Source organism: Homo sapiens, chromosome 4 (assembly GCF_000001405.40).
Source record: "Homo sapiens chromosome 4, GRCh38.p14 Primary Assembly".
NCBI lineage: Eukaryota > Metazoa > Chordata > Mammalia > Primates > Hominidae > Homo > Homo sapiens.
The window spans coordinates 16,286,689-16,302,992 of record NC_000004.12 but is presented as its reverse complement, the minus strand read 5'-3'; the positions used below and the strand labels follow the sequence as shown (position 1 = coordinate 16,302,992).

The 16,304-nt window shown below is 39.8% G+C and overlaps 1 long non-coding RNA gene across 3 annotated transcripts in view; it reads right to left on the bottom strand.

Moving 5' to 3' along the window:
* LOC124900674 (uncharacterized) overlaps nucleotides 1-15,921 on the bottom strand; it is a 71,217-nt gene extending 55,296 nt beyond the window's left edge. The window contains exons 1-3 of one of the 3 annotated variants that reach the window (XR_007058065.1): nucleotides 15,139-15,921; nucleotides 13,948-14,109; nucleotides 3,486-3,563 (exon numbers count right to left, since the gene is read on the bottom strand). This is a non-coding gene — a long non-coding RNA (uncharacterized LOC124900674). Of the gene's footprint in view, nucleotides 1-3,485; nucleotides 3,564-13,947; nucleotides 14,110-15,138 lie in introns of those variants that run through there. The other 2 variants (XR_007058064.1, XR_007058066.1) reach the window with 2 other exon arrangements.
* Between the last annotated feature and the right edge of the window lie 383 nt (nucleotides 15,922-16,304).

The window sequence follows — 16,304 nt, the reverse complement described above, 5'->3', positions numbered from 1 at the left end:
TTTGTCTCTCCCTGTCTCTCTCTCTTTCTCTGCTGGGCACTTTCCATTATCTAGTTTCATTCTCAAGCATGTTCCTTCTATTTGCAAAATAAAAGAACCTGACCTTTATCTCCTTAGCACTCATGTGAACTCTGAAGGGATCTCTCATTGCCCACCCCTGGTACAATCACTGAGTCTGTCACAGGGAGCAGCGGCCACATGGTGTACAGCCGCCCAGAAACCCACAGAGTAGAGGAGGGCAGTTCTCAACAGGAAAGGGGCTTCTACTGTCCACAGAAAAAGACGGATACAACTTGCATGCCTGCACTTCAGGAGTTACTCATTAGATAGGAACTAATCCAGATAATAAACTACAAAAACAATTCACAGCCATCAGCCAGTTGGCTATATTATTGAGAAAGACTTCCTTGGGGCTGGGTACCATTGAACTAATTCAGGAAGCTATCTCAAACTCATGAGACACTCTGTTGGAGGATCAGTAAGTAATCTAGTTGCCTGAAGGAGCAGGTTTGTGGTGGGAGAAGTAGAAGGAAGATTGCAAAGTCGAAGAGAGGTCTTAACTGCAAAGCTGAAGAGTTTGTCCCACTGGCCAAAGATGACAATTCACCTGGATCACTTTCCCCTCCAGTGCCCCCGGAAGGCTTCTTGGCACTCCCACGAGCCTGAATACAGCCTCAGAGGCCATTTCAACCCCAGCCTCCAGAATGCCAGCATAAAGAACAACCTGTCTGCTGGTTCTGCTGTAGATGGGGGAAGAGCTTTTGATCCTCATTCTTAAACAGAAGAGTCAGCGAATTTATCCTGTACAGCATCCTCAAGCTTTAAGCAAGAAAGTAAACATGCATCAGGAGTAGAACTTCCATGGAAGGCTTTCCTTTCCTTCACATTTTGTTCAGGTTTAATAACCCTGGAGAAAAAGTAGAGCCAGTACTATCTAAAGTCCCAGGGTTGGATGTCTCCCCTTGGTCTGAGAAAGGATTTGTCTCCAACCAACCAACCCTACAGGGGAGATGGAAAGAGAAGCAATGGCGCAGAGACAGGGCTGGACATCCAGGGTAGAAGGAACCTTCATGTCATTATGACTCTTTTTAGGGTGCTTGAAGCTGAGAAATATTCACCTAACAGAACTCATTTTGTCCTTCCAGCAGACTGGTGAGACAGTTATTCCTATTTTACACTAAGGAAACTGAGCTTTAAGATATTAAGTGATTTTCTTCCAATATATCTAAATAATGATGATAATGATGATACTGATAATAACTATCAGCAACATGGTACTTCTCCATTCAAAGCACTGCTGTAAAAACGTGTCTCACTTCATTTTTACAGCAACCCAGCTATGGTCTCCTTTCATTTAGAAAGGAGAATACAGAAACAAAAGCACAGAGAGGGTAAAAAGAGCTTGCTAGGCAAGTTCCTTTGACCTGAAAATCAGATTCCTCACCTGTAAATGGGGGAGAACTGTATCCACTCACAGGGTTGTGTTATGCTTAAGTGAGATCTGTACAAAGTATTTAGCACACGTGTCTGACACACAATGAAATTAGAGAATTAAATATCACTTCTGTTATTTTTATTAAAATGAAGTAATGTGCCATACATTGAAAAACTTCTCTCTCTTTTTCTTTCTTTCCCTTTCATTCTTTACATTTGAAAAAAAAAAAAAAACTTTAGAATCATTTTACATTTTCAGAAAAATTGCAAAGAATATTCCTGCCCCACAGTCACCCAGGGTCCCCCATGTTAACCTCTTACATTGCTGTGGTACATTTACAACAACTAATGAAGCAATGTTGATAACTCGTTATTAAACTCCATACTTTATTCACACCGTATTAGTTTATACCTAGTGTCCTTTTTATTATTAATGGACTATAATTTTTGCAGCAGTTTTATGTTCACAGCGACAGTGAGCAGAAAGTACAGACTGTTCCCTATGTCCCATACCCCCACCCAGGCACAGCCTCCCCTACTGTCAACATCCATTCCAGATGGGATATTTGTTACCATCAATCAACCTACGCTAACACATTATGACCACCAAAAGTCCTGGTTTCAACTCTTGGTGTTGAACATTCTGTGGGTTTTGAGAAATGTATAATGACATGTATCCACCATGATAGTACCAAACAGAATACTGTCACTGCCCTAAAACCCTGTTCGCTTATTCACTCCTTTCTTCCCCCTAACTCCTGGCAATCATTTCTCTTTTTACTGTTTTGCCTTTTCCAGAATGTGAGATAGTTGGAATCATACAATATGTAGCCTTTTCGGACTGGCTTCTCTAGTTCAGCATTTAAGGACTCTTCATATCTTTTCATGACTCGATAGCTCATTTTTTAAAAATCACTGAATCATAGTATATTATTGGATCGTATTATTAGATACTATTATGAATACTATCCACTATTATTGGATAGTATTAATAGTATTATATGGATGTACCACAGTTTTTTTGCTTCCATATTTTGGCAATTATGAATCAAATTACTAGAAAACTGTATGTACAAGATTTTACATGGACATAAGTTTTCAATTCATGTACAAAAAATGCCAAAAAGCAAAGCATGATTGCAGGATCATGTGATAAGAATAACTTTAGTTTTTAGGAAACGTCCAAAGCATCTTGCAAAGTGACTGTACAATTTTGCATTCCCACTTGGTATAAATGAGAGTTCCTGCTGTACCACACCTTTGTCAGCATTTAGTGTTGTTGGTGTTTTGGGTTTTGGCCATTCAAAGAGGCATATGGGGGTGTCTCATTTTCATTTTAATTAACAATTCCCTAATGACATGTGACGTTGAGCACCTTTGTTTATGCTTATTTGCCATCTGCATATCTTCTTTGGTGAGATGTCTATTCAGATATTTTGCTGATTTTTTTTATTACATTGCTTTTCTTATTGTTGAGTTTTAAGAGTTATTTGCATAATTTTATTACCAGCCGTTTAATATATATGTTTTTTACAAGGATTTTACTCTGTCTGTGATCTGTCTTTTCATTCTCTTAGTGTCTTTCACAGAGCAGAAGTTTTTAATTTTAATGAAGTCTAATTATCAATTTTTTATTTCATGGATCATGCTGTTGTATTGAAAATCTCATCACCAAACCCAAGGTCAACCTGATTTCTTCCTATGTTATCTTCCAGGAATTTTATAGTTTTGCATTTTACATTTAAATCTATGATCCATTTTGAGTATGATTCCATTTTAACTTCTTTTTGAGTGGTTGCCCTGAGTTAAGTGATACACATTCATAATTAATTATAGCTCTACATCACTTCATAAGTAATGCAAGTATCTTATAATCTTATAACAAAGTATTACCAATTCCTTCCTGTCTGTCTCTTGTGACATTGCTGTCATTCATTTCACTTATCCATATATGCTAGTATCACCCAATACATTGATACTATTGCTGCTTCAAACTGACAGTTATCTTTTAGGTGGATTAGGAATAGGAAATAGAAAAAATTTTATTTTACCTTCATCTATTCCTTCTCTGTCACTCTTCCTTTCTTTATGTAGATCCAAGTCACTGAACTATATCATTTTTCTTCTCCCTGCAGAATATATTTTAACATTTGTTGCAAGAGAGTTCTGCTAATAATGAATTTCCTGTCTTTGTTTAAGAAATTCTTTATTCCTCCTTTCTTTTTTCAGAATTATTTCATTGGATATAGAATCCTAGATTGGTGGATTTTTCTTTCAACACTTTATTTATTTATTTATTTATCTTGAGACGGAGATTCACACTGTCACCCAGGCTGGAGTGCAGTGGTGCAATCTTGGCTCACTGCAACCTCCACCTCCTGGGTTCAAGTGATTCTCCTGCCTCAGCCTACCAAGTAGCTGAGATTACAGGCAACTGCCACCAGGCCCAGCTAATTTTTTTGTATTTTTAGTAGAGATGGGGTTTCACTATGTTGGGCAGGCTGGTCTCGAACTCCTGACCTCATGATCTGCCCACCTTGGCCTCCCAAGTTGCTGGGATTACTGGCGTGAGCCACTGCGCCTGGCCTCTTTCAACACTTTAAACAGACAACCCACAAAATGGGAGAAAATTTTCACAACCTACTCATCTGACAAAGGGCTAATATCCAGAATCTACAATGAACTCAAACAAATTTACAAGAAAAAAACAACCCCATCAAAAAGTGGGCAAAGGACATGAACAGACACTTCTCAAAAGAAGACATTTATGCAGCCAAAAAACACCACATGAAAAAATGCTCACCATCACTGGCCATCAGAGAAATGCAAATCAAAACCACAATGAGATATCATCTCACACCAGTTAGAATGGCAATCATTAAAAAGTCAGGAAACAACAGGTGCTGGAGAGGATGTGGAGAAATAGGAACACTTTTACACTGTTGGTGGGACTGTAAACTAGTTCAACCATTGTGGAAGTCAGTGTGGCGATTCCTCAGGGATCTAGAACTAGAAATACCATTTGACCCAGCCATCCCATTACTGGGTATATACCCAAAGGACTATAAATCACGCTGCTATAAAGACACATGCACACGTATGTTTATTGTGGCACTACTCACAATAGCAAAGACTTGGAACCAACCCAAATGTCCAACAATGATAGACTGGATTAAGAAAATGTGGCACATATACACCATGGAATACTATGCAACCATAAAAAAAAGATGAGTTCATGTCCTTTGTAGGGACATGGATGAAATTGGAAATCATCATTCTCAGTAAACTATCGCAAGAACAAAAAACCAAACACCGCATATTCTCACTCATAGGTGGGAATTGAACAATGAGAACACATGGACACAGGAAGGGGAACATCACACTCTAGGGACTGTTGTGGGGTGGGGGGAGGGGGAGGGATAGCATTGGGAGATATACCTAATGCTAGATGACGAGTTAGTGGGTGCAGCGCACCAGCATGGCACATGTATACATATGTAACTAACCTGCACATTGTGCACATGTACCCTAAAACTTAAAGTATAATAATAAAAAAAAGAAAGAAAAAAAAATCTATAAAAAATAAATAAATAAATAAATAAATAAATAAATATGTCATTGTACTCTCTTCTTCCTTGCATGCTTTCTGATAAGAAGTCTGATGTAAATCTTATCCTCACTTCTCCTATAGATGAGGTGCTTTTTTCCCCTGACTTCTTTCAAGATTTTCTCTACATCTGTGCTTTTCTGCAGTTTGAATATGATATACATAGGTGTAGACTTTTTGATATTTATCCTGCTTGATATTTTCTGAGCTTTCTGGATCTGTAGTTTGATGTCTGTCATTAATTTTGGAAAGTTCTTGGACATGATTACTTTACATATATTTTCTGCTCTATTCTCCCTTTCTTTGCCTTCTTGCATTTCCACCACACAGAAGTTATACCTATTGTCACTGCTCCACATTCTCTTGTAGCTGTAGCTGCTGACAATTCAGATTCCTCTAGTGTCATTCTTTTTGTCTTCCCTCTTAACTTTGGCCTTCCCTGTATGCTCTTCCTCAGAGAGAGTGCCTTGCAGTTCTTTCAGCTGCAATCCACCGTGATACTGCATCCTTGTTGGTGGGGTCACCAGATATCAGCGAGAGAGAGCATCTTACCATCTTCTGATTAAAACTCAGACTTTTCTTGTGCCTGGGTCTTGGGATCATGACCTTCACAAGTATTTCTTCCATGATATAAATTTCTGCCATGCCCCTTGGCATCCCTCTCTGGCCTCAGCATTCCAACTCTATTTCCTTGAAGCCCTGTCCTCTGATGACTATGAGTTTTCTTCTCCTCAGGAGGGACAGGAAAGCCAATGGGATCTGGAGTGGGGAGGAATTTCCTCATTCCAGCTAGAATAAGTTTCCATTAAAGTTATTTTTAGGAGAGCTGCCCTTCTTCACCAAGTAGGCTCTGAGCTTATTTCACAATAGTTACTCTCCCTTTCCACTGCCAGAGCCTCAAGGAGGTTTTTCTCAGTCTCCCCATCATGAGAACTCGATGTGGCTCCTAGAGGGAAGGCCCATTGAAAGTTTGGAGACCTCCACCAGTTTCCCATTCTCTCATTGTATCTCTGGTAATTCATTTAAATTACCACTTAGATATTCCCCAGTGTATGGCATTAGTAGCTTCCCTCTAGGTAAGCAAATCTCTGGATGCACCTGTCTCTCTACCGTGTTAAGCTGGCAGCTTGTTGTGCAATCACACTTCCCTGATGATTCCAGGAAAAGTCACTGATTTTCAATTTGTCCAGCTTTTCTTTTAAAGACGGGAATGATGGCTTCCTAGCTGTTTACATGCTTGAGCTAAAACTCAAAGTCCCTACTTAATGTTTTATATTTTCAAAATGTGCTTTTTTATTTTAATGGATTCTATTGAACATTCCTTATCCACAGAAATCTTCTTGAGTCTTATTTTGTTGTATTTTGTGATCGCCGTGACTCTGAAACTACTTTTTTCTTTTTTTTTTTGACAGAGTTTCACTCTTGCTGCCCAGGCTGGAGTGCAATGGTGCAATCCTGGCTCACTGCAACCTCCGTCTTCTGGGTTCAAGCAATTCTCCTGCCTCAGCCTCCCAAGTAGCTGGGATTACAGGCATGTGCCACCATGCCTGGCTAATTTTTGTATTTTTAGTAGAGACAGGGTTTCACCTTGTTGGTCAGGCTGGTCTTGAACTCCTGACCTCAGGTGATCCACCCACTTTGGCCTCCCAAAGTGCTGGGATTCAGGGGTGAGCCACCACACCCGGCCAACTCTGAAAGTTCTAAGCAGCAGACTTTTCCTAGCTCTGCAAAGAAATAACCAAAGAGCTCTTGGCCTCTAGCTAGACCACATACCTCTTGTTGCCTAGCTTGGAATTCCACACTGCTGCCCACTCCCTTTTGGAACCCATAGAACACTTACATGCAACATGCATCCTGGAAGTAAAAGAGAGTGGTGACCAGGGGACCATCTTTGACTAATGGAAGGAAAGAAGCCGATGGATAAATGTTTTTCTCTTTCATCTCCCAGGGACATAAGGATTTCAAAAGGCCCTCAGAACATCCTGGTGAGACCGAACTCCCACCCTCGCAGCAGAGGCCAGTTCAACAACTCATTCTTGTATCTGCTTCCTGATCTACTCCCAAATTTCTGCTCCCTGAAATCATTTTCCAGAGGATTAGCCCATATGAGAACCTTCGTCTTGGGCTTTGCTTTTGGAGAACCCAGGCTAAGATATAAGATTATTTAAAAGAAAAAATTTATAACATGTCTATAAATGGATAAAAACAGCCATTTGCCATTACAAAGATGAATTCTTCCCTTCCATGACTTTCCAAAACTTCTTTGCCTGTAAATATCTATTCCTCTTAGCTCATTCTTCCCATCCTTCTGCATTTTGATAGCACATTATCAGTTGCATAAAATTATCTGTTCTTACCCACCTCCCTCTATATTTTGAGAAATTTAGAAGATAAGAAAAGAAAAGAAAATGATGCCATTAAGGACTATTCCTTATACTCTTATGTTAACAAAAGATTAGCAAGTGTTGAAAGCAGTACTCAAAGTGTGGTTTATGGACAGATTATTGGCCTACAAACTGCTTTTTTAGTTTACAAACACTTAATAAGCTTGCTCCAAATGTAAATTAACTAAATCACTATATACAATATTACAACTGACATTAAAAACAAATTTATGACTTCTTCAATGAAGAAAGCAAGGCATTGATTTACATTGCTGTGTCAGACTCCTGATCTCAAGAAGTACTGTCTCTTTGAGTAACACTGGATTACAGGATTAGACAGTTATCAAAGTACTAACGGTGGACATTTCTTAGTATGCACTCAGTTCTAAGCACTCTTTCATAGGCCCTACTGATATTACCTCATTTAATTCTCAAAAAAAAACCTTGCATATGAGGTAGGTTATATTATTATTCTCACTTTATAGGTAGAGAGACTGACGCACAGTGAAGTTTAATAATTTTCCCAACATTACAGAGCTAGTAAGTGGTAGTGGCAGCCTCCCAGGTGACTGACCCCCAGTGGTCTTTGCCTCTTGGTATTTACTCCCTTGTGTAGTCAGCTCCCATAGTGTATTTGTGACCAAAGCACACACAAGTGATATTGTGTGATTTTCAAGGATAGATCATAACAGATATTGTTCCTTTTGCCTTGCTCTCTGGCATCAGCTACTTCAAGGAAGCCAGCTTCCACGTCATGACAACATTCATGCAGCACTATGGAAAGGCAAGAAACTGAGGCCTCTGTCAGCAGCCAGCACCAACTTGCAAGCCATGGGAGGGGGCATTCTTGGAAGAGAATCCTCCTGCTCACTCAAGTCTTCAGATGACTCCAGCTCTGGCTAACATCATGACTATGATCTCATGAGAGATGCTGAGTCAGAACCACCAAGCTTAGACACTTCTTCATTCCTGACCCACATGATATGTGCAAGATAATAAATTTTTATTGGTGTCTTCCATCTCTAAGTTTGGGGCTAGTTTCATATCCAACAATAGATAACTAAAATAGCAGTAGAAAATCTGGCTCCAGAGCCTGTTTTGTTAACTGCTATGTGTACTATCTCTCAACTGAGAGTTTATCTTGGGTATATGAAGAAGGATTAAAACAGAATTGAAGGTAGAGAAGGAAATGACTTCCTTCCTATGTGATGTTATTTAATGCCAATATTGTGTACCAGCTACCCAGCTACCATCGTCTCCACTAACACCAGCAGCATGCATTCAAAACTCTAAGAGAAGAAGAGTAGACAAGAGAGTATGGGATTTGAAAGAAGATAGTCCGGAATTGAATCCCAGTTCAGTTCCTTCACTCATTTTGGGTATTCCAAAAAAGAGGCCATAATAACCAGTGAGAAAAACAACTTGTAAAGCCCAGTCTCTCTGAGCACAGCTGAGAGCTGGCTATATATATTTATTTGGGATGTATGGAGTTCAGGGATTCATGGAATTTCTCAGAAGTAGGGGTACTTACAGATTGGGTAATATTTAGCTGTATGCCTGAGTGACAGTCTTGCTGATTGGATGACTTTCAGCAGTGTTTGTGCTGATGCAAAATAGCTAATGACCAATTAGGAAAAGTTTAAAACCATGTCTGGCAATTGTTTCAAGGCCAAAGAACAATGAGCCCTTTCCTAAGAAGATAGGAACTTTCTGTTCTTCCTTAAGCCATTTCCCTTCAATGTTCTTACCTGTAAAATGGGGAGAATACAGACAACTATTTATCAAGGGCCTACTATGATACTTGCCACACGCTAATCAACTCAGCCATTGTATGGCAGCAGCTGCCATAAACCATAAGTACACAAATGTATGTGGCTGTATTCCAATAAAACTTTATTTACAAAAATAGGCAGCAGGCAGGATGTGGCCAGTGGGCAGTAGTCTGCCAGTTCTGCTCCAGGTTATCTTTAGTCCCAGCTGTGGCCTGCTCTTCTGCCTCTCCTAGCTTCTAGCTCTGCTGTCCCATTGATCTGTATTACACTTTCCCCTTTCCTTAAATGCTTTTCTTCTACTGATGTGTTAGCTTTCAGTAAAGCATTACCTCATCAGGAGAAAGTGCTGTCCACACCTTTAGACTATTACAGGCCCCCCTGCTGTGTGCTCCCAAATGCATTTCCTCTTTCGCCACCTTCATCTCACTTTGTTATAATTATTTATTTCCATGTCTTTCTTCCCTGCTAAACTGTGAGCTCTGTGAAAGCAGGGATTGTTTGTCTCCCATGCCATTTGATCACAGGGCTTAGCACAATTCCTGACACATAGTAGGCATTTGGTAAATACAAAGGAAAAGAATGAATAAGCACGATTTTACAGAGAACATCTAAGATAAACTTTGGCTACTGTACACTTGTGTCTACCTATTTTACAATTTTTCCTAAAACCACCTTGTTCCCAAGAAATGGATTCTTCACTTCATATATTTTCAAGCTCACAGGCCATTTTGCCTCTATTTTACAGCGTAAGAATTTTGAAATGAGGAAACATCAGTGAAATCCATGTTTAAGGCACTTTTATTCTCATGCCACTATTTCCCTGCAATGGTGACCTTTAAATTTAGCCTGAGTATAAGTGGGGTTGTCAGAACATCAGGTTACATTATGTTATTCAGCTATTTGTGCCTTTTAAAGACGATGTAAGTTCCAACATAGACCGCACAGCGGGAAAGTTACCCTGATGATATTCTGGAAACTGCCGCAGCCAGGATCACATCCGGAAGTGGGTCAGTATTCAAGAAGGCTCATGCTTCTTGGAAGTCACTTTTACTGGAAACAGGCCCACATTTATCCTTCCAGAAAATAAGTAACCTGTGGCTCGTGCATGGCCTTTCTTCTTCAGGCAGATTGGAGAGAGGATTGTGTTTGAAAGAAAAGAATGGAAATGTGCCTGCAGCACTTATTTTTCTCCTTCAGGGTGGCGTGTGGAGCTGTGTGCTTGGACCTGCAGTGAACGGTGTAGTCACTGATTTTTCCACCTAATCTGGGGTTCAGAGGACTCCGGGCTGGTACTGGTCCTCCACAATTCCTCCTAGATGTAAACCAGCCCCCCGACCTTTTTTGCAGCTGTTTGACTAGCTGAGCCCACTTCCTCATTGATAAACAGCTTTGATAAATAGGTTGAACTAAACAGCTCCCAGAGACACTTCCAGCTCTGGTCATGCAATTGATTTCTTCAGGATGCTTTCAGAGACACATCAGGGCAAGAAGCATGGGGCATGGGGTGAACGGAGGAGGGAGAGGGGATCCAGCTTTGAATGGTAAGGCAGGGCTTCTCCACTTCTTGTTGCATTGCCATGAAACAATGACCTCTCGCTGTGCTCCCAGTCCCAAAGAATAAGCTGTAAGCTGATGTATGAGAAGAAAGATCCGAAGGAGATGCATAGACACATAGAAATCACAAATAATAATAATAATAATAAAACCTAATACAATGCCTAACTTGCTCCTTAGCTCCTTAGAAAACTGCAATGTGGCACTAGACAAAAGACACCTTCCTGGGCTTTACCCCAACCCAGTCCAGTTTAAATGACAATGGACCTGCACACTTTAATAGTTTTTAAAGCCCATTGCCTATAGACAGGCAGGATAATCTAGTAACAATGAGAAACATCATCAGGCACTAAGTTCTAGCACTGTTCTGATTGCTGTAAAGGTATTAGGTAGAGTCATATGCAGCGGCTGTTTTTCTAGGCCAAAAATGGATAAACACCAGCAATTTCATATTTCTATCTAAGATTAACTCTTTTGATTTTTACAACAATCTTCTAAACACTGTTGTTGTCTTTTGTTATGAGCTCTAGATGGGTTTTTAACTCAGCTCTGCTACTCTGGTCAAATGTGCCTTCGTTTTCTCCCATGTAAAATGAGACTAATAATACTGCTTGCTTCATAGGGTTATCACGAGGACTAAATGAGTGAATAAATGTAACAGTGCCTGACACATAAGTGCTAAATAAACATCGGTCATTATCATTAGCTTTACGTAAAGTGACGTTAAGGTCTCCTTCATTCTAGAAATACTTTGTGCAGTGGCATTTCATGTTTTTTTTTTTTTTTTTCCTACCAGGCACTTATTTCTTCTTCTCTTCTAAAATAGCATCCCAATTTCCCTTTCAGGGAACTTGTCCCCCTGGCTGACTATCAGCCAGGGATCCTTGCCTCCCCTCACTATGGCGTATACATGTACCCTGAGGTTAGCCAGCCTCTCTCCTGTGTCCTGTATTTTCCAAAGCCACATTATTCTGCTCTTCCTGTGATTCTGAAGCTCTTCTGTGTCCTTCCAATAAATTCCTTTTTTATTGCCCATGAACAATGGGCACGTGGAGGAAATACGGAAGGTAATTTAGCAGATTGTTGGCAAGTTAAGTTAGCAAGATAAGTGGTTTCTATTGTTGCAACTAAATATCTTTAAAATATATATCATTGGAAATAGACATTGTAATGTTCTTTTTATGAATAATGAAACCAGCTAACATTTACTGATTCTCTGTCTAGACTTTTACTATGTGGTTATGTTTAACACACTTCTGCGACAGTAAGCGCCATTAACCCCATTTTGCAGAGAAGAAAATTGAAGACTTAGATTCCTCTGCCAGCTTGTCCTGCTTGTGTGTCCTTGAGCAAGTCTCTGAACATATCCAAGGTCTCAGTGTCCTGATATGTGAAGTGGGGTTGGTGACCTTTCCCACGCACAGGGTGGTTTTGAGAATCAAGCAAGATGATGAACGTATAAAAGCTCTTTGTAAACTATATAGTTACATGCCATATACGGGTAAGATTGCATTATGATTCTCTTTGACAAAAGGACACATTTTAACTCCTGTGTCTTGGTGCCTAATTTAAGCCATTTGTTGTTCTTTCTGCATAATAATAATAATAACAAATAAATAATGCATGTTTCAAAGTGAAAGCCCTAGCTAACACACTCCCCAGAATGAGATTCTTTTTCTTGGAAGCAACACTACACCTATGTGGATTTCCTGGGTGCTTTATGTTCTTGCCAGGCTAATCATGGCTGAAACTTGTGTTCTCTGCTTTTCTGATCAAACTTAGAGTCCTTCTCTCTCTTTTCCCTTTATTTCCCTCCTGTCTTTCCCAATCTCGAAGCTCCCCAAGGACCAATAAATTCCGGCATTGACTACACACAGCCTTCTAAGGGTTTTCAGTATATTAGAAATAAGATCCAACTTCCTGTATTGAAACCAGAATTTAAATGAAGGTTTTCCAAACTCTACTGAGGATTATATAAAGAGTAAGCAGGAATCATAAAAATTAGGAATATTATTTTCAAATGCCAGGGTTTTTAATAGACAAATAAGGTATGGGATCAGGCTGCAGTATATTAGCAAAAGATAGAGAAAAACGAATGAACGAGAAACATTTCACTGTGAAAACCAGATGAATATTCTTATTGGCCCACAGTGCCATCTTGTGGATCATTTTTAAATAGGGCTTTGTTTTCAGTTGTGATTGCATTTGTTTGACTGTTCCTAATCATGTAAAGCATCCATTAAAGTCTGCAAATGATTTCCAGGTAACCCAAGAGAACATAGATGAACACACCTGGTGGAACTCATCTGTTTATTGATATCTCATCCTCCTTAGGCACAGTTGGCCTGTCATTCCATGCTTTAAATAACTTCTCTCTTTGCCCTCTGTAATAGTAGATGTTCATGGTTCTCTCTGGCCATTTTCTTCCAGCCTTCACCAAATCTACTTTATCTATGTAACTCCTAAGGTATGTTCTTTGCCTTCTCTTTCTAGATGTAGTGGTTATGCACCTTGTCACAGGTTTTGTAACCCATAGAAAACCAATGGTCACCCATGGTCCACGGACATTCTTTCCAGAAAAAGACACTCAGATGACTGTGCCCCTCCTGGCACACACACTCTGATAGAAACAGAACACACACTCTTACACACTTGCACACACCTACACTCACATACATGCTCACACATTTCAGCCAACAATTTCAGGGGGGTTCACAAAGTTCCTGGTTCCATGTTTAGAACCTTTGCTTGACAGTACTTCCTTCAGTGATGTTATGGAATCCTAGACTTGTAACTATCACACCTATGAAGAGGTATCTCAGATGCCAGGTTCTTTTCTATATCCAGTCCTTTGTTTCCAACCGCCCTCACTATTTCTGATGTAAACATCCTGCCCTTCCCTATGGCTAACGCTGTAGCCATGTTGATCTCCTCTCAAGAAACACTTCTGGGCACGTTCAAATTCTGTTCACTCTCCAAGCCCCGGTTCATATACTACCATCTCTGGGAAGTCAATCTCTAATCAGAGAGAATTAAACTTTCCCTTTGTGATCTCTTAGACTATTTTTTTAAGTTTTCACATTAAATATTTCAGACTTTCTACTGTTTATAATTGCCTGAGTAGATAGGTTCTTAAGGAAAGAAAACATGTCTGGTTTCATTTTGCAGCTTCTATCATAACAAGAGAGGGGCTTACCTTGTAGCTTGTAGCTTTTCCTTTAAAGTCTTTGAGATTGGAAGACTTGGTTTAATTTCTCACTTTAGACCTTAACGTGTGACTGTGAGCAAGGTAGTTAAGCTTTCCAAGACTCAGTTCTTCATCTGTACACAGGGATCCGATGGTTCCTATATGTGGGGTCTGTGGGAGGATTCAATGAGTCAAGGTATGTAATGCACTTTGCATGTTTCCTGGCACACAGCTGGGGATCAAAACATGTTTCTTGAATAATAGGACCCTCAGAAAAGGAAAAGAAGCTGAGGTCACTCTCTCCAAAAAATGTATTCCCATGATTTTGAAATCAAGGAGTTTGTCCTTTATTTCTGTAGGAGTGATTAGGATGTCCCTAAATGTTAGAAACTCAGTTAACAGCAGAGAAACAAGATGAATCAGCAGTTTGCTCTAATAGATCCAATCTTTGAAACCTTTCAATCAGCATTGGGATGGCAACCCAAGTAATTTTTTTAAGTATTATTTTATTTAGGCCTGTGTGGCTGGCTTTTCAGTCTGGGCTGACCATTAGCAAGAGCAATCTGCAGCTGGTTTCGGTCTCCTGGCACTAGTGGTTTTCACAGCAACAGCAAGTTGTCTGTGGTGCAGTAGAAAGAGCACTGAAGTTGGAGGTAGAGGGTCTGACCCAAAGGATACCCTTGTTCCTCCAAACCACATAGCCTGGAGAATAAATATGGACTTCTGCTGCTCATTGAGGTGCGCATGACTATTGATATAAATTATTTTATGTCCTCCAGCATGATATTTTGTGCAAAAAAACACTATTTTTGTAAGTTTATATTTTTAATTAAAACCTGTTTAGTTTACAACTTAAAAAATATTATCTTCCCGGTTTCTGCCATATTGCTTGCCAGCCCACTCCCCAGAGTGTTGATCCAGTTAACAACGGGCTAGATCACATTTCCCACAGCTCCCACAGGCTGAGAGGTGAAGCTTATTGTTTCTCCCTCTCCAACCCTGCCATCCTTGTTGAACTAAATATCCTCCAACAATATGATTTTCATTAATCTGATAGATGTACTGTGGGGTCATGTTGCCATTTAACTTGGGAATTTCTATGGTTATGAGAGATGTTGAACTTTTCTCCTAAGCTATTTAAATTTCCCATTCTATGACTCCCCTACTTATGTCCTTTGATGACAGAGTTGGCTTTCTTACCTTTTTCTTGTTGGTTTGCAGGAGTACTTTGTATATTCTAGGTATTAATCCCATTCAAAAATTCTCCTATTTTTTTCATTAGATTGTAGCTGTATGTTTCACATTGAAGTCTCTAATTATCTAAAAGTTCCTCCCTTGACCAGCCTGGAAAACAGAGTGAGACATCATCTCTACTAAAAAATACAAAAATTAGCCAGACATGGTGGCGTATGCCTTGGTCCCAGCTACTCAGGAAGCTGAGGTGAGAGGGTCGCTTGAACCTGAAGGTGGAGACTACAGTGAGCCGTGATCGTGCCACTGCACTCCAGTCTGGGTGACAGAATGAAACCCTGTCTGAAAAATAAAAGAAATAAATGAAAGATCCTCTCCTTGCTTATGGAATAAGATGAAGATCTCACTTTATTTTTCTCCTTAATATGAGTCTATTTCCCAATATCAACTTCTTAACAATCTGTCCTTGAGCCACCGACTTGTCTTGCCACCTCTATCATATATCAATTCCTAGATATATATGGATCTGCTTCTGAATTTCCTGTTCCATTTCATTGTGATAGTTGAATGTTCCTGTGATAGTACTGTTTTTGTTTCCATGGTTTTGTAGTATATCTTCATATCTGCTAAGAAATTCTCTTTCATTTTCTCTTCTTTTTAAAAATTAACTTAGCTATTCATGGACTTTTAGTATTAACCACAAATTTGAGATAAGTCTTAAGTTTATTTTTAAAATGCTGATGTTTATAAACTGCATTAATTTCTAAATTATTGGTTTTTGTTTTTGTTTTGTTTTGTTTTTGAGACGGAGTCTCGCACCGTCGCCCAGGCTGCAGTGCACTGGCGCGATTTCGGCTCACTGCAGCCTCCACCTCCCAGGTTCAAGCGATTCTCCTGCCTCAGCCTCCTGAGTAGCTGAAATTACAGGTGCCTGCCACCACGCCTGGCTAATTTTTTTGCATTTTTATTAGAGACGGGGTTTCACTATGTTGGCCAGGCTGGTCTTGAATTCCTGACCTCGTGATCCACCCACCTCGGACTCCCAAAGTGCTGGGATTACAGGCATGAGCCACCGTGCCCAGCCAAATTAATTTTTAAAGAACTGACTCTATTACAATTTTAGGTCATTCCACCCATTAACATAATGGCATTTTCATATATTCAAGTCTTTGTCT